The following is a 17,256-nucleotide window of genomic DNA, read 5'->3' on the forward strand; positions in this document are numbered from 1 at the left end:
CACTCTCTCCCAGCCACCTCGGCCTTTTTGCTCCTTCCCAAGCCTGCCAGGCATGCCCCCGCCCCAGGGCCTTTGCACTGGCTGTTGCCCCCCACCCCAGGGCCTTTGCACTGGCTGTTCACTCTGCCTGGAAATTTCTTCCTCCATACACCTATGTGGTTTGCTCCCTGGACCGCTTCAAGTCCTCACTCAAGTTACTGTCTTAATGAGGCTTACCTTGGCCACTTATTTAGTGAGGCCCACGCCCTCCCACCCTGGTATTTTACAGCCATCACCACCTTCTACGCCACTCTAGACTGCACATATTTATTATGGTTTGCTGTTGATGTCTGTCTCAGCCTAGGACATAGGCTCCAACAAGGCAGGGGCCTTGCCTCTTCTCTTTAGCAGCATATTTCAAGAATCCAGAACAGAGACAGGAACACAGCAGGTGCTCAAGACATGTTAGTTGAATGTCTCCCCTTCCCAGACCCCAAACAGCTTTGGTAGAACTGGTGAAAAAGAGGATGGATCCAGAGAGGCCGGAGTGTGGCAGGGCCTGGACTGCTCATCTCCAAGGCAGCTGAGCAACCCTGGGCAATACCTGGGGGAAGCTCATTCCCCCATAGCACGATCACATGGGACATTCAGGGGAAAGCAACCTTTTCCAGGAAGGAAAACCCAATGCTGGGACCCAGGGGAGCTTAGCTCTCAACCCAGCCCTGCTATTGATTTGGATTTGCTGTGTGACTTGGGACAAGACACTATCTGTCTCTGAAACTCAATTCCCCTTTTGTCAGACAAAATTAGCATCTACCTAAAAGCAATAAACTTCCACATTTATCTAAAACCAATAAACATCCACGTTACTGTGTTGGGGACCCACAGCCTGAGGTTAAATCCTTCCTCTGCTACTTGCTAGCTGTGTGCTATTAGGCAACTTAGGCAACCTCTCTGACCCTCTACCTCCTAATCTACAGGTGAGGATGATGATAGTGACTGCATCACAAGTACGTGAGCCTTTCACCTGCATGGACTGCTTCACTCTTCACACACTTGTGAGCAATTCTATCATCCTCCTCCTCATGGGAAGTCATGGGAAAGTGGCTGGCATGGGCCGCTCAGGGAGTTGATGGAAACCCCAGGGTAGGCTGTGTGTCAGGCTGACCCTAGAGCCCCGGGCTCTGCCCACCCCTTCATTCTGTCACTGCACCTTGGCTCATGGAAGGCCCTGTTCAGTTTCCCAACCAAGTGCATTCTGGCCTCGGCCCACCCTCACCATTTGGACCACAACCTTGGTCGGAGGCATTGCAATGACCTGGAGCTGACAAGACACTTCCTAGGTAGGACAGGTGTTTAAAGAGCCACCCTCCACACTAACACCAACCAAACCCCGGAGCCAGGGACAGAGGAGAAACCTGCCAGGGCCCGAGAAGGGATGAGGCTTGAAGGGCACTGAGTTCCATGTGGCCACAGTACCAAGGACCATTGGAGGAACGGGAAAACAGACCACCCACACCTCAGACACAGAGCCGGTGCTGGTCAGCGTCTTAGCTTGGGTTCCCTGAGACAAGGATTTGAGTGCACGTGGCTGACAAGGAATCCCTGGTAGAAGACCAGGAAGGGAAAACGGGGCGGGAGGGTGAATGGGTCGGGAAGGGAAAGGAAGCCAATGAAGTGTGCGCTATCAATAAAGTGTGCGCTGTCAATAAACTTTGCGCTGTCAATAAAGTGTGCGCTATCAATAAAGTGTGAGCTATCAATAAACTTTGCGCTGTCAATAAAGTGTGAGCTATCAATAAAGTGTGCACTGTCAATAAAGTGTGCGCTATCAATAAATTGTGCGCTGTCAAAGTATGCGCTATTAATAAAGTGTGCGCTGTCAATAAAGTGTGCGCTATCAATAAAGTGTGCGCTGTCAATAAATTGTGCGCTATCCATAAAGTGTGCGCTGTCAATAAAGTGTGCGCTATCAAGTGTGCACTGTCGATAAAGTGCGCACTGTCAATAAAGTGTGTGCTGTCAATAAACTGCGAGCTGTCAATATAGTGCGTGCTGTCAATAAAGTGTACGCTGTCAATAAAGTGCACACTGTCAATAAAGTGCACGCTGTCAATAAAGTGTGCTCTGTCAGTGAAGTGTGCGCTGTCAAAGTGTGTGCTGTCAAAGTGCGCGCTGTCGATAAAGTGTGCACTGTCAATAGTGTGTGCTGTCAATAAAGTGTGTGATGTCAATAGTGTGTGCTGTCATAAAGTGTGCGCTGTCAATAAAGTGTGCACTGTCAATAAAATGTGGGCTGTCTAAATGAAGTGTGCGCTGTCAATAAAGTGTGCACTATCAAGCCAGACATCACTGCTGGGAAATGGTACCAAAAAATCCTCCTTCGAATTATCCCACCCAGGGGTATTTACAAGTAAAAGCCTGATATCACCGGCTGAGGGCTGCTCCTGGGGGTAACTCCCTGAACTTGCAGCTTTCTGCAGGCTTCTGGGTTTCTAGGTTGCAGTGAGCCGAGATCGTGCCACTGGAATCCAGCCTGGATGATAGAGCAAGACTCCGTCTCAAAAAAAAAAAAAAAAAAAAAAAAAAAAAAAGAGCCTGTGGGCACAGAAGGGTAGATCCCAGCGGTGGGAGGTTCGTCAGGGCCCTCAAAGCACCAAGAGACATGGGCAGGGCTCTGACTGCACTGTTGGAGTTAGATTCACGCCTGGCTTTTGGGGAGCAGCAAGAGGTCCTGGCCAGCTCTGAGCCTACATCTCCCCATGGGGGAGAGAGAGGGCTACTTTTGGGGCCTCTCTCGAAATCAGCATTCTGGAGAGGAGAACATCTGTGAGAATCCTCCCTGGATCCCAGTAGACCAAGCCCGGGCAGGGGCTCTGGTGCCCCTCCCCTTCTGTTCACTAGTTCCAGTGCCTGTGGTGCTCCCAGAGATGCTGGCTGGACAGCTTCTGTCCTCCAGGGAGGCCAGGACACCTGCTCTGCCCCCTGCTCTCTATCCTCCAGGCTAGAACCAGCCACCTTCTTGCAGTCAACATCCCCACAAGACACTGAGAGTGATTTTTTTTTATTGTGATAAAATATCCCTAACATAACATTTACCATCTTAACCATTTTTAGGGGCATAATTCAGTGGCATTAAGTCCAATTATGTTGCTGTGCAGCCATCATCACTATCCATTTCCAGAACTTTTTCATCTGCCCAAACTCTGTACCCATGAAACACTAACTGTTTCCTCCTCCCCCTCAGCCCCTGGAAACCAGCATCCTATTTCCCATTTCTGTTGTTGTTGTTGTTGTTTGTTTGTTTGTTTGAGACAGAGTTTCACTCTTGTTGCCCAGGCTGGAGTGCAGTGGCATGATCTTGGCTCACTGCACTCTGCCTCCACCTCTTGGGTTCAAGCGATTCCCCTGCCTCAGCCTTCCAAGTAGCTGGGATTACAGGCATGCGCCACCATGCCCAGCTAATTTTGTATTTTTAGTAGAGATGGGGTTTCACCATGTTGGTCAGGCTGGTCTCGAACTCCTGACCTCAGGTGATCTGCCCGCCTCAGCCTCCCAAACTGCTGGGATTACAGGTGTAAACCACTGCGCCCAGCTGACCCACCCTATTTAAGTATAACCCCACCCTGTCTCAGCACAGCCGTCCCCTTCCGTGCTGACAAACTGTGGGTGTTACTTCTTATTCATTGTCTGTCTTCACCATCTAGAATGTAGGGCTTCTGTCTGTTCTGTTTAATGCTGTACCCTCAACTGTGTACTGTTCTAGGATGTTCTAAGCACATAGTAGGTGCTTAGCAAAGCAAATATGTAAATTCATGAATGTGGCCATTTCAGTCTCCTTTGAGCTCCCACCAGGTTCTCATTTAGGGACAGGCGTGAGCACAGGTGTGGGAAAGGAAGTATTAGTAGAAAACAGCAGCCGCAGATGGAGAGGGGTGGGCAGGAAGGAGGGGCTCTGGACGATGCCAGCCAATGACAAACCGTCACCCAGATCCCAGGTTCCCTGTGACAGTGGGGTCAGGTGGCAAAGAGCTTCCAACACGGCCCCCAGAGCTGGAGCCCAAAGAGCTGGAGCATCAGGGGCCCCAGAAATAAGGGAAGCCAACCAGGAAACTGACCTTTTACACAAAATATCCAGGTTTTGAGAATGCTCAGGAAGAGGTGAGAGCTGTTCTCAAATTCAGATGGGCTGCCAGTGGCAAGAAGGTGATGCTAAGGGGTTGCACTAGGGCTAATGGGTAGGTGTTGCAAGGACTCCTATTTTGGCGGATGTAATAAGAACTGGCCCCCACTCCTCCCTCTACCTAACAAGAGGTGTCCAACAGTGGCTTAAGCTTCCTGGTGAAAGTGAGCCCCTGGTTCCCGTGTGTATGCAGAGCCCAGGATTCACTCACCCATGGCTTGAACCTTTAATGGATACATTCATCAGTTACCTGTCAAGTGCGTTTCCTCTGTGCCAGATTGTGTGGCGCTCAGCACTGTGAAAGTAATGATGACTAAACATTATTCAAATAAATACACATTCAACAACAAAGTGTGAAGGCACAAAACTAGCTTGCCAGAGAGAGAGAAGCCTCACTCAGACAGGGGATCAAAGGCCCCTCTAGAGCCTCCTAGATATTGGAGAGAGCCATGAGTGATGGGCATGCCTCCAGCCTGTGAGACCGGGGGAGCATACCCCAGGCAGAGGGCACTTAGGAAAAATAGCACGGGGTGCTAGCGCTGCCAGGGACCTCAGTACACATGGAAGAAGGCAAGGTCCAGAGATCCGAGTGACTTGCCCAGGGACACAAGGCAAATCGGTGGAATCGTCGAGGGGTGGAGGATCAGCCACAGCCCCCCGCCTCCCACGCCACCTCTTGGAAACCAGATACCCGCCTCGCGGCCAAGACCCACCAGCTCCAAGCGGCGGAGGCCAGAGGTAGCGAGGGGTGAGGTTAGAGGTGGGGGCGAGCGGGGACTGGACACCTGGGGAGTGGGGAAAGGGGAAGGGGGCGGCACCGCTGACGTCATTTCCGGGGTCGGGGTATATAAGCGGGGCGCGAGGGCGCTGCTGCTGCCACCGCTCCTGCCACTGCAGTGCTCGAGCCCCGTGCAGGGGAGCTTGCGGGAGGATCGACCGACAGACGGACGCACGCCGAGGCACTGCGCCCCCAGCCCCGCGCCGGTGCCACCGCAGCCCGACCCCGGCCGCCAGTCCAGCCGCCCCTCGCCCGGTGCCTAGGTGCCCGGCCCCACACCGCCAGCTGCTCGGCGCCCGGGTCCGCCATGCGCTCCGCCGCTGTCCTGGCTCTTCTGCTCTGCGCCGGGCAAGGTGAGCGAGCGCGGGGAGCTCGCGGGAGAGGGTTCCGGGCGCCCCTGCCCACCTTGAGGTCCGGGCACCGCGCGGCGCCCCGCACCCCTCCACACTTCCCTTCGGGCGCGGCGAGTTTTCAGCACCGCGGACAGCGCCTCCGCCTCCCGCCTGACCCTGCAGTGTGGCCTCCGCCTGGGACCCACAAGACACTTGGGCCTGACTCCCAACCCCCCGGGGCAACTCCCCCTTGTGCCCACCCCTTGTCTGGGCTTGGCGCCTCGGTTGCATCAGGGCCAGTGCCGGTTGCGCGGTGGCCGGCCAAGGTCACTGCGGGGAGGTGGGAGCATGGCTGCTCGCAACCCTCCACCCCTCTTCCCCTTTCATCTCACGCTCCCCGCCTTTCTGCCCTTGACTTCTACTTCTCCATATCATCCCTCACAATCCCCTTCCTCCATCTCTTCCCCCGCCCCCCCCACCTCTGGGGTCTCTCTCCCCTTCGTCTGTCTCCCACCCGTCCCACTGTGCAGCTCTTGGCCTTGTTTGATGGCGCTCCCCGCTCCAAAGCACACCCGCTCCAGAGCAAGAGTTTCCAAAGGGGGAGGGGGAGGACCTCTCAGTGCAGCCTCTGGGGACCACCCCACTGTGGGCAGCAACCAGGGAAGGGAAACAAAATCAGCCCTAGCCTCTCTTTTTGGTGGGGGCAGTTTTGAGGGGTGGCATTGGGTGAACGGGCCCCAGTGAGCCCGGTCAGAAAGGACTGGCCTCCACTTGGAGCAGAGGAGTGACCCCAGCACTCTCTTCTTCTTCCCAGTCACTGCGCTCCCTGTGAACAGCCCTATGAATAAAGGGGATACCGAGGTAAGAAGGGGTGCTGGGGATGAGGGGTAGGAGGCTCCAGTGGACACTTCACAGCCAGTTCTTGGGCAGCTGCAGGAGTAAGTTCGGCATAAAGCCAAGAGCCAGCACTGCGGCTGCTGAGCCTGGGGACAGCTTGCAAAAGAAGATATCAAAGATTGCTTGCTTTCCCTGCTGTCCTGCTGTGGGGACTTCCCCAGCTTCCTCTGAGCTGCACATGCAGCGGAAGAGGCCTGCATCTTACCTGCTGGGCCGAGGTGCCTGGCTTCAGGCTGTCTTGAACACTCTGAATCCAGTAGGCTCCCCAGGGGCTGGTGGGGGTGGCTTCTCTGTAGTTGTAGTTGTCCACAGACCTGTAAAAATGGCCTTTGCCTGCCTGGCTCTGGCCTCCCCGCTTTGCTCTTTCTCCCTGAAAGGCTCTGCCAGTAACAACCCACACCCAGCAGGCTCTCCAGCCCTGGCTGTCCCAAAGGAACACAAGCAAAACATCTTGATCATGGCTCCTGCACCCACGGTCCCACCAATAGGGGCTAGTTGTGGAGGTCACCCAGGAAAGGGCCTTAGGAGACACTAGTAGGGGTTTCTCTGGCAGCAAGAGACACACCACGCTGGGTGTGTACTTGGAATTCATTCATGGCTGAGCTGGGGCTGTTTTTTCCAGGCTCTAGTGCTCATCCAAATCTCTGACTTGAGGGTCAGAGAAATTTCTACTCCCCACCTTCCCAGAAACTATTCTCTTCCACTAGACACCACAGTTAAAATCCAAACCATCCAAGAGATTCCAACCTCTGTTTGCTCAATTATATTTCCTATGTTTTAGTTGCAGATAGGACAGAATTTAAACCTCTACCACTCATTCTAGCTGTGTGACCTTGGGAAAATTCCTTAATTTCTCTGAGCTCCGCCTTTTTCTCCTTTTCCTTGAGGGGAGGTGTAAAGAGTAGGAATCATGGATGTGAATTGCCTAGCACATAATAGGTCCTCAGTAAATGGGCACTTTTATTCCTAGAGCTGCCTTCTTGATCTCCCCATCCCTCTCCAGACCCTCTACCCAATTCCTGCCTCCCAGAAAATGCCCTCTCGAACAGGTGGTTATCTGATATTCCCAATGCAAGGTCCGGGGTTGCAGGGAGATACAGGGTACAGGCTGCTGTGCTCTCCTTGCTAGATCCCTTATGGGAGACACCCTGGTCACCATATTATACCCAGCAGCCTGTGGTCAGGGGCACCAGAGCAGCTGGCTAAGACCTGAAGATTCTATACGAGGTTGTTGTGACTACATGCATTATACAGCACTTGCCAGTTTGCCATCTTGGATCCTTGGACCGGTTGCCTTGGCATCCCGTAGACACAGCCTCCCACCCCCTCACTCCCTGCCGGTGTTGCCTGATGCCTGTCTGACACCTCCTGCTCTCTACTCAGCTCTAGGCTGTGGAAGCAGGGCTGGAGTTGTGAACCCCTCCCTGGGCGTGCTGACACTCCATGCTTGAAAGAGTGTTTTTCCATCTGTACCTCATTACCCTGGGAGAGCAGTTGGGAAGGTATTCTCACTCCCGTTTTACAAATGAGGACACTGAGGCTCAGAGAGGTTAAGTCACTTCTCCAAGATCACACAGCTAGGATACCACATTACGGTGGGCACCATCATCAAAGATCACTCATTTATCAGATGCCTAATTATCCACAGCACCTTTGCAGGCACAGGATAAGACTTTCAGAGGCGTGGCTGTGGTTGACCTGGGATATGCTCCCAGGTGTAGTCAATGTGTGCTCACATGCCGCCCAGGGATTCACCCATCCCATGATGAACATGGAGTGAGAATATGAAGCTGTGACTCCTTGCATACGACAACACCATGGGTGTTTGGAGACAGTAACCTACATCCTATTTCCAAACAGGGTAGAGCCAGGGAAGGTCTTTGTCTCCTCTGGGCAGTCCAGAAGGACTTCCTGGAGGACCTGACCTTTGGGCATCTTCACGATCAGAGCACTTTTGTAAGACATCATTTTAGTGCCCTGAGGCAGTTTTCTCATGTTTAGAGAAATAGCACTTGGGGATGAGAAGGTACCAGGTACCATTCCCTACACCCCATTCTCACTATGATCCACCTTGGAGGGGAACCTGCTGGCCATGTGGTTGGAGTGGCTGACACATGGTAAGCACTGTGTTAAGGGTTTTCTATTATCATTGCTATCACTGTCTGGCTAAGAAAGCAGAGCTGTGTCCCTGAGCCAGGGATCATGGACTCCCAAAGACAAAAGCAAATACCCTCTGTCCTCACTAGAAATTCACCCTAGAGCCTCCAGGGACTGAGCCCCATGCTCAAACCAGCCCCAACCTGCCCCTGCACTGTGTTCCCAGGTGATGAAATGCATCGTTGAGGTCATCTCCGACACACTTTCCAAGCCCAGCCCCATGCCTGTCAGCCAGGAATGTTTTGAGACACTCCGAGGAGGTATGAGCTGGAGGCTAGGGGTGAGGGCTGCTGCCTGCTGGGCTGGGAGGCTAGGACATGGGTGTGTGGCTTTTGGTGGAATTAATGATTTAACTCAACAGTCACTGACTGAGTGCCCGTCATGTCCAGGCACTGCACCAGGGTCCAAGGTGTACAGACAGTTGAAGGGGTTGTAGCCCAGGTGCTTACAGACTGGCAGAGGGGATGCATATGAACACAGTTAACTAGAACTCTGGGCAAAATAAAACCAGGGCTGAAACAGCAAGCCCCCAGACTGTGAGCTCCCTATGGACAAAGATTTTGTGTGCTGTATCCCAGTGCCTAGAACAGCCTCTGGCCTCTGCAGACACCCTCTAGATGTGTGATGAATAAAGGAATGTTATGGGTGGACAGGAGAAGGACGAAATCTTTCCAGGCAACCAGTCAAGTTTTTACTAACTGCTGGATAGAGCCAGCAGCATTTCGGTTGGGCTTTAAAAGAAACATTGGAAACCGATGAGTGGAAAAATGAAGACAGGGTTGTCCAGGTGTGGTAGACAGTGTGAACACAGGCATGGAGATGGGAACCTGTTGTATTTAAAGAGACCCCACTCATCCTCAGGGGTTGCCACCCTTTGGCTAAGGTCTGGCTGCTGGGGCAGTGGCTGACTTCTCTGATGTAGTAGGAAACTGACACATACCTTGGAAAGGAGGTAATTTCAAAAGTGTTATCTGAAGACCCAATCTTGCTGCCACCACCCTGGTTTTGAGTTTCCAGAGTAAATTCCTTGTGCTCAGCTGAAAATATTGATGGTAATCTCTTTCTCGGCTGTTCTCTGGAAACCACCCATGATGACTCTTCTTCATTGCAGATGAACGGATCCTTTCCATTCTGAGACATCAGAATTTACTGAAGGAGCTCCAAGACCTCGCTCTCCAAGGTATTTTCCAGCCACTGCACTTGACTCTGGGTAAATTCCAGTAACTGAGAGTCAGAAAATCTGGTGGAAGATTCAGCAAGTTCCTCTCTGGGACTGTCATTTCCTTTTAATTATAAAGCGGAAAAGCAGGATCCGCCGTGCCACCTGGCTCAATCTGTTATTGATATTGTTAAAGAAATCAAGGCCCAGAGAGGTTGAGTGACTTGTCCAAGGTCACACAGTGAATAGAGACATGCCAGGTGCAGCTTCCCTAAAACCCACGGCCTCTGCAGTTCAGTCATTTTAGGAAATACCTTTATGAAGTAGTGAGCCACTCGTCACTGATGATATTCAAGCCAAGCCTGGACAGGATACTGGAGTGGAGGGTTAAGCTGCCATCTTCCCACAGTTAGCCTCTATGCCCAGCCCCCCAGCTCCTTCCAGGCTTGATGCAAAGCACGGCCCTAGCCTTGCAAGTCAGGAAACCTGAGTTTGGCCCTGCACCTGCCCCGGCTGACTTCCTGTGGGAAGCGGCCGTTTCCACCAGGGCAGGACCACTGGTGGTGGTGTGTCTCTCCATGAGAACAGGGCATTACAGCATGAATCCAGCATCTGCTTCCCAACGAAGCGAGAGTGTTTTTCAGGGCTGGGCTTGTGTCTGGGGTGGGGTGGGGGTACGAAGGCTGCTCTGGCTTCAGGATGGGCCCCACTCTGAGGCCTTTGGGACAGACCAGGCCATGTGTGAGAACAGAGAGGGCTTTGGGGAGGAGGCACGTAAACACAGCCACGTCAGTAGGATTCCTGTGGCCCTTTCCAAGCTAACACACTGTTCTTCCTCCCACTCATGAGCCAGCCTGGGCAGCAAGCACCCACCTCCTACTGTTGTTGGAGGGGGCAGGGAGTGCTGGGCACAGCTGGGACTATTATTACCTGGATAGTTATGTCATCATCAGTGACCTTGGACTAGTGTTTTGTTTTGTTTTTAACTAAGCATTAAATATTTTATTACAATTGATAACTTTAAAATTAAATATTGAATGACTAACTGATTACATTTAAATAATTAAATAGACTGTCAACAGAGACTATTATAGGAGAATGTGTCCTGAAACATCTCTATTCACATGCACGTGTGTATCCCGTATAAGCAGTATCCAATATATGTATATATGACTATTTTCCATTAACAGATTCCTGGATGTATTTCTGTCCATCCGTCTATCCGTCCACTCCCTCTTGGGCTCCCATAACATCTTCTGTGTGCCTCTGTCTTAGCATTTACCACACAGCAACCCTATTTTCTAGACAAGCACCCAACTCTTGGAGAGCCCAAGTTGCCCATGGAGCTAGGAAATAGCCAGAAGGGGACTGGAACCCACGTTGCCTGAGACCAGGGCTGGGCATGCTCCCTGGCCCACAGCTGCCCAGGAAAGCCCATTGTTGGGGAAGAAATGAGCTGGGCTAACTGAGGGGCCAACATCAGGAATAAGGCACAGGTGTGGGGACAGTCAGAGGAGGCAGCGGCGGCGGGGGGAGAGGGGTCTCTGGGTCATGGCTGCAGGCGCCAACCCTGGGCTCAGATGTAGGCACAGGGCTTGGCCTTCTCCCCGGGCCTGGACTCAGCGTCCAAGGTTAGCAGAGCTTGCCTGAATCAAGAGCTGTCACCATTACTGCCTGCTGCAGGGTTCCTGGAGCTACCAGCCAGGTCCTGAGGGGTTCCCCACCCCCAACTCCTGCCCAGCCAGGTCCTGAGGGGTTCCCCACCCCCAACTCCTGCCCAGCCAGGTCCTGAGGGGTTCCCCACCCCCAACTCCTGCCCCTGGGATCCTTGCTCCATTTGAGCCTTTCTTGCTGTGTGGCCACAGCACGCTTGCTCTGGCCTCCCAGGGAGAAGCTGAGTCTGGCGAGGCAGGGTGGCTGCCTGAGGGCCCAGCTGAGAGAGGTGAGGGACGCCAACCCTTCACCGCTCCCCAAGCTCACGCCCCATCAGTGTCTCATTGGGCAGGCCCTGAACATGATGTGCCCAGCTTACAGATGGGGAAATGGAGGTCTTCACTCTTATAGACAAATATGCCACAGCTGCACCCAATGGGACTTTTCCCTCCTTTTCTCATACCAGGCGCCAAGGAGAGGGCACATCAGCAGAAGAAACACAGCGGTTTTGAAGATGAACTCTCAGAGGTTCTTGAGAACCAGAGCAGCCAGGCCGAGCTGAAAGGTCTGTCCCAGCCGGTCTGGCCGGAGGTGGGGAAGGGAGGGTGGCAGTGGGAACAGTGGCTATGATGGACCCAGGGTTCCAGTGAGTCGGGAGCCCCACCCATAATCCCTTATTTCCCTCTCTCTACAAATGGGGAAACTGCTGCTCAGAGAGACTAGGTCCCTTGCCCAAGGTGAGTGGCATGACCAGGGGTTTCGATCTGGTCCTGCCTCACACCAAAGCCCTCGCTCGGTCCCGTCTGCCCAGAAGAGGGGCTGGCACTCTAGGGCAGGAGATCTCTGGCATGGCAGGTGGACAGCTTCAACTCTGGGTCTACCCAGTGGCCACTGTAGCAGAGCCCCCACCCCCAGTGCCTGTCCTCCTGGGAAGTGGTGGGGCCTCAGAATAGCCAGGATGCAGGAGGACCACAGACAGAGTAGGTGTGAAACGTGAAATGAACCCAGATCATCTTTCTTGAAACCAAAGAGCTTCTAGGAGTCTAAGAGGTCATGCCTTAGGTCAGTGCGACACTCTGAGCCATCCTCCCTTCCCGGGGAGAGCCACAAACTGGCCCCGTGGCGCTTCTGCTCTCCATGTAGAAGATGGGCCGGTAAGGCCGGTGTCCAGGAGCTGGATCCTGGTGTCTCCCATCTGGGGCTGAAAGGGAAAGCCCGCAAGTGAAGCCCAGGTGCCCCCACTTTGGTTGAAGCTTTAATGAGGCAGGCAGCCATGTGTCAGTGCAAAGAGATCCCGAGCTTGTCATTTGGAGGCTTGGGTTCCAGGCTCAGCTCTGCTGCCCGCAAACTGTGAGATGGACAGGTCATCTTACCTTTCTGCAGATCATTTTGGGTTTCTGTGAAATAGGCATAGGAGCACCTTTCACCAGAGTCCTGGTGAAGCTCAGATGGTGGAATGTACTTGGGAGCACTTTGTTCAGTGGTTATCATTCTAATGACGGGAGGAATTTTCACTTGTTCAAAGGCTGTCTTTAAGGCAGCCACAATAAAATACCTTTTAATGAAACCCTAAAATATTGCAGAATTGAGCCCTTTCACAGGATGCTGAAGACAGAGAAGCCCCACATGGAGGGGAGAATGAAGTTGCAGTCATGGTGCCTCTTACACAGAGAGGTTAAGCAACTTGCCCAAGATCACACAGCTGACATTAATTTTCAGTTCAGGCTTTATCTCCTGGATTAATCTTAAGGTCTGGTTTTTTGTTTTTGTTCTTTGAATAATAACCTGTTTTAAAAGTCAGGATTAAAAAGAAAGAAACAAATCCAGCTGTGCTCAGATCAAGCCTGGACATGGACAGAGGGGTAACCCTAATCGTTGTCCTGGGCTGGGCTCGCTGGAAGCCAAGAAACATAATGAGTAACATCTGAAATTAGCCTGTGGGGAGGCCCCACACGTGGCCCAGTCCTCAGGGCCTGACTTGGCTGTGCTGTGTCTGCAGAGGCGGTGGAAGAGCCATCATCCAAGGATGTTATGGAGAAAAGAGAGGATTCCAAGGAGGCAGAGAAAAGTGGTGAAGCCACAGACGGAGCCAGGCCCCAGGCCCTCCCGGAGCCCATGCAGGAGTCCAAGGCTGAGGGGAACAATCAGGCCCCTGGGGAGGAAGAGGAGGAGGAGGAGGAGGCCACCAACACCCACCCTCCAGCCAGCCTCCCCAGCCAGAAATACCCAGGCCCACAGGCCGAGGGGGACAGTGAGGGCCTCTCTCAGGGTCTGGTGGACAGAGAGAAGGGCCTGAGTGCAGAGCCAGGGTGGCAGGCAAAGAGAGAAGAGGAGGAGGAGGAGGAGGAGGAGGCTGAGGCTGGAGAGGAGGCTGTCCCCGAGGAAGAAGGCCCCACTGTAGTGCTGAACCCCCACCCGAGCCTTGGCTACAAGGAGATCCGGAAAGGCGAGAGTACGTATGATGGCGAAGACCTCAACGAACGTGTCTGGGAGAGGGGGATGGGTGGGAGGAGAGCCTTCTCCATAACCTCATTCCACCTTCATAACAACCCTGAAAGGTAGGTATTAGCTCCATTTCCCAGGTGGACAAATGAGGCTCAGAGAGGTTAAGTAATTTGCCCAAGGTCACACAGCTAATTTGTAGCAAAAGCTGAGGTTCTACCCCAGATTTATCTGACTCCAAAACCATGCATTTCCCACTATTCCACATAGCCTCCCCCCACCAACCCCAGAAGCTAGGGGTGGGTGATGGGTGGGCTGGCTTTGGGAACAGAGACCATGGCAGGAGCGCACAGGCTGATCTGGGAACAGTGTCAGCTTCAACTACGGTTTAGGAGAGGCCCTGGCTCCCGCTGCGGGCCTGTCAGGGTCTTTCCTCACTCTCCAGCTGCCGGGCTTCTGGGGTGAGGATGAGGGGAAGAGGCAGGCTCCAGCTAACCCACCCCTCTGAGCCGAGAGGGTCTTGCAAAGCCTGGCATCAAGAAGGTTTTTCCCGCTAAGCGTCATCACTGTGGAGAGGCTGGGCTGTGGCCGCAGCAGAGGCCCCCAGGGAGTGGCAGAGACTGGGAAAATGGTGGTCCCCCACCCATTCTCCTGCTCTTGCCCACCACCTGCTCCAGGTCGGTCGGAGGCTCTGGCTGTGGATGGAGCTGGGAAGCCTGGGGCTGAGGAGGCTCAGGACCCCGAAGGGAAGGGAGAACAGGAGCACTCCCAGCAGAAAGAGGAGGAGGAGGAGATGGCAGTGGTCCCGCAAGGCCTCTTCCGGGGTGGGAAGAGCGGAGAGCTGGAGCAGGAGGAGGAGCGGCTCTCCAAGGAGTGGGAGGACTCCAAACGCTGGAGCAAGATGGACCAGCTGGCCAAGGAGCTGACGGCTGAGAAGCGGCTGGAGGGGCAGGAGGAGGAGGAGGACAACCGGGACAGTTCCATGAAGCTCTCCTTCCGGGCCCGGGCCTACGGCTTCAGGGGCCCTGGGCCGCAGCTGCGACGAGGCTGGAGGCCATCCTCCCGGGAGGACAGCCTTGAGGCGGGCCTGCCCCTCCAGGTCCGAGGCTACCCCGAGGAGAAGAAAGAGGAGGAGGGCAGCGCAAACCGCAGACCAGAGGTTGGTATGGGGCGGGAGCCAGCTCTGTGCCAGGCCACGGAGCAGCAGGGGGCAGCCGCACCCAGACACACTGCCCCTGCCCCACTGAGGGGACAGGGCCCCCCCGCCGAAGTCTGGGGATGGAGAGATGCTCAGACCGGGGGCTCTCAGGGTGGGAGAACACCCCAGCTCACAGGGGGCACCCAGCAAAGCTGGCTGGGAGATGGGAGGAGCTCAGGTCAGCCTGTGGCAGCGGGGGAGGCGCTGAGTGGGGACGTTGTCCAGAAGGCAGTAGGGTGCCCTGGAAAAACCATGCGGTGGGTCTGACCGTGTCCCCTCCTGGCCCCCAGGCAGCCCAGGCACAGCCTCCTCCCAGGCTCAGGCCCTGCCTCTGGCCCATGAGGGTAACGGGGCAGGGCAGGGGCAGGGCCAAGGGATCTCTTGCCTGTGGGGAGTGGGTGGGAGCCACACCGGATGTGAGCTGGAAGACCTGGGCTCTGCCTCCTCTTGGCTGCGTGGACTTGGGAGGGTCACTCCCCTCCCCGAGCCTCATCAGTTCCATTTATGAAGTAGGGGTAAGGAGTCTCCTCTGCCCACGTCATTACCATGATTGGAACACACAAAGGCTTTGAAAACCAGGGCCCCTGGGGAAGACAAATGGGGCGTGGGGACACAGCCCACAGGAGCAGGGGGGAGTTGGGGTCCCTGGCAGCTAGGCGGCTGGGATACCTGGTTCAAGCCTAGTGTCCAGGTAGGAACCCAGGCTCTGTGGGAAGGCTGACACCTGTCCGCAGCCCTGACCCCAAGGCTCTTCTCTGCCCACCTAGAAGAGGGTGTGGCCCCTTCACTGGGCCCCCGACCCCCTCTCTGGGCCTGGCAGTCTGAGAGGAAGAAGGCTCCATGTTGGCAGCTGTAGCGGGAGAGGGCATCTGCCCACGTGCCTGGGAGCCCAGGGCGAGGGGCTGAGGACAAAGCTGGAGAGAATGGGGGCCCAGAGGTGCCACCAGCTTCCTTTCTCCACAAGCAGAGGGAGCTCTGGACCGCAGGGCAGAGAAACTGGACCCCTGAGGCATATGGAGAGGATGGGGTGGGGGCCTCCTCAACACAGCCCAAGGGTCTTCTTAGAAACCCGAGCCTCGCAGAGCACCTGCCCCAGGGCCTCCTCCAAGACTAAGGGGCTGTAGAGTCTATTTCCACGGCCTGCAATGTCGGGGTCCCTGGGCCAGGATGCCCTCGGCAGCCTCAAATCTGGCAGTGACCCCGGGAAAATGACCCCTCCCAGGTCAAAGGAGGCAGCCTTCCCTGCGCTCCTGCTCTAAGTCTTGAGGTTGTGCTCTTGTGGGTGTCCAAGTTCTGAGGCCTGAAAGCTTCTGCAGACGGGCATAGAACAGGGCTCAGAGGAGGGGTCCCTGCTTCCCTAAACTTGGGTAGCCAGAGTTCGGGATCCTCTCACAATCAGGACCAGGGATCAAAGCCCAGCCCTAGGCAGGCTGATGTGGGGCAGCTCCCCCAGCATGTAGCCCTGTCTCAGGCCCCACATTCCCCTCAGGTGGGAAGGCTGCAGAAGACAGACCCGGAAGTCCCAGGCTGGCCTCACCCTGGGTCCTGGCAACCATGGGCTAGGCCGAGGGAAGGGGGCTCTTCAGGGCACTGTAAGCTTTGTTTTCCATGTGCCCTAAAAGAACAGACTCCCACCTGTGCGGAACCATTTGAGAGGAAGTGGGGCCTGGATAAGAGGCCACCAAGAGCAGTGTGGGGACAGGGCCCCCGGCATCAGCCACCTTCTTGTGCATAATGATCCCGAGAGCAGTACAGTAAGCTCATTATCACTGTCTCCATGATGGATGAGGGTACAGAGAGACAAAGCCACCTGTCCGAGGCCACACAGCTAACCCAGCGCCTTTCTGGCTTACTGTGCCTTCCATGCCACTGGCCAGGCTGGCCCGAGTGAACCCCAATGTCTCTCCTAGGACCAGGAGCTGGAGAGCCTGTCGGCCATTGAAGCAGAGCTGGAGAAAGTGGCCCACCAGCTGCAGGCACTACGGCGGGGCTGAGACACCGGCTGGCAGGGCTGGCCCCAGGGCACCCTGTGGCCCTGGCTCTGCTGTCCCCTTGGCAGGTCCTGGCCAGATGGCCCGGATGCTGCTTCCGGTAGGGAGGCAGCCTCCAGCCTGCCCAAGCCCAGGCCACCCTATCGCCCCCTACGCGCCTTGTCTCCTACTCCTGACTCCTACCTGCCCTGGAACATCCTTTGCAGGGCAGCCCCACAACTTTAAACATTGACGATTCCTTCTCTGAACACAGGCAGCTTTCTAGAAGTTTCCCTTCCTCCATCCTATCCACTGGGCACAACTGCAATAACTTCTGACCTTTTGGTGAAAGCTGAGAACTCCTGACTGTAACATATTCTGTATGAACTTTATCTAAAGAAAAATAAATCTGTTCTGGGCTCTTTCCTCTGAATTTTTTCGCCTCTCAACTTAAGAGTGGAGTGAGATGCACTGGATTTGGGCGAAGGGACAAAGGGAGGTTCAGTCC

The 17,256-nt window shown here is 54.8% G+C and overlaps 1 protein-coding gene across 3 annotated transcripts; it reads left to right on the forward strand.

The window, feature by feature from the left end:
- The first annotated feature begins 4,551 nt into the window (after nt 1-4,551).
- Nucleotides 4,552-17,173, forward strand: CHGA (chromogranin A). Of its 3 annotated transcripts, XM_011536370.3 has the most exons (9): nt 4,552-4,900; nt 5,060-5,293; nt 6,087-6,133; nt 8,493-8,586; nt 9,438-9,506; nt 11,605-11,703; nt 13,138-13,590; nt 14,258-14,739; nt 16,689-17,173. In XM_011536370.3, exons 2-9 carry the CDS (start codon nt 5,248-5,250, stop codon nt 16,770-16,772), a joined length of 1,374 nt encoding a protein of 457 aa, XP_011534672.1. In that variant the 5' UTR covers nt 4,552-4,900; nt 5,060-5,247; the 3' UTR covers nt 16,773-17,173. The 3 variants fall into 3 exon arrangements, with proteins under 3 accessions (XP_011534672.1, NP_001266.1, NP_001288619.1); NM_001275.4 differs by lacking the exon at nt 4,552-4,900 and having other exon boundaries at nt 5,038-5,293; NM_001301690.2 differs by lacking the exons at nt 4,552-4,900; nt 13,138-13,590 and having other exon boundaries at nt 5,038-5,293.

Source organism: Homo sapiens, chromosome 14 (assembly GCF_000001405.40).
Source record: "Homo sapiens chromosome 14, GRCh38.p14 Primary Assembly".
In the NCBI taxonomy this organism is placed as follows: domain Eukaryota; kingdom Metazoa; phylum Chordata; class Mammalia; order Primates; family Hominidae; genus Homo; species Homo sapiens.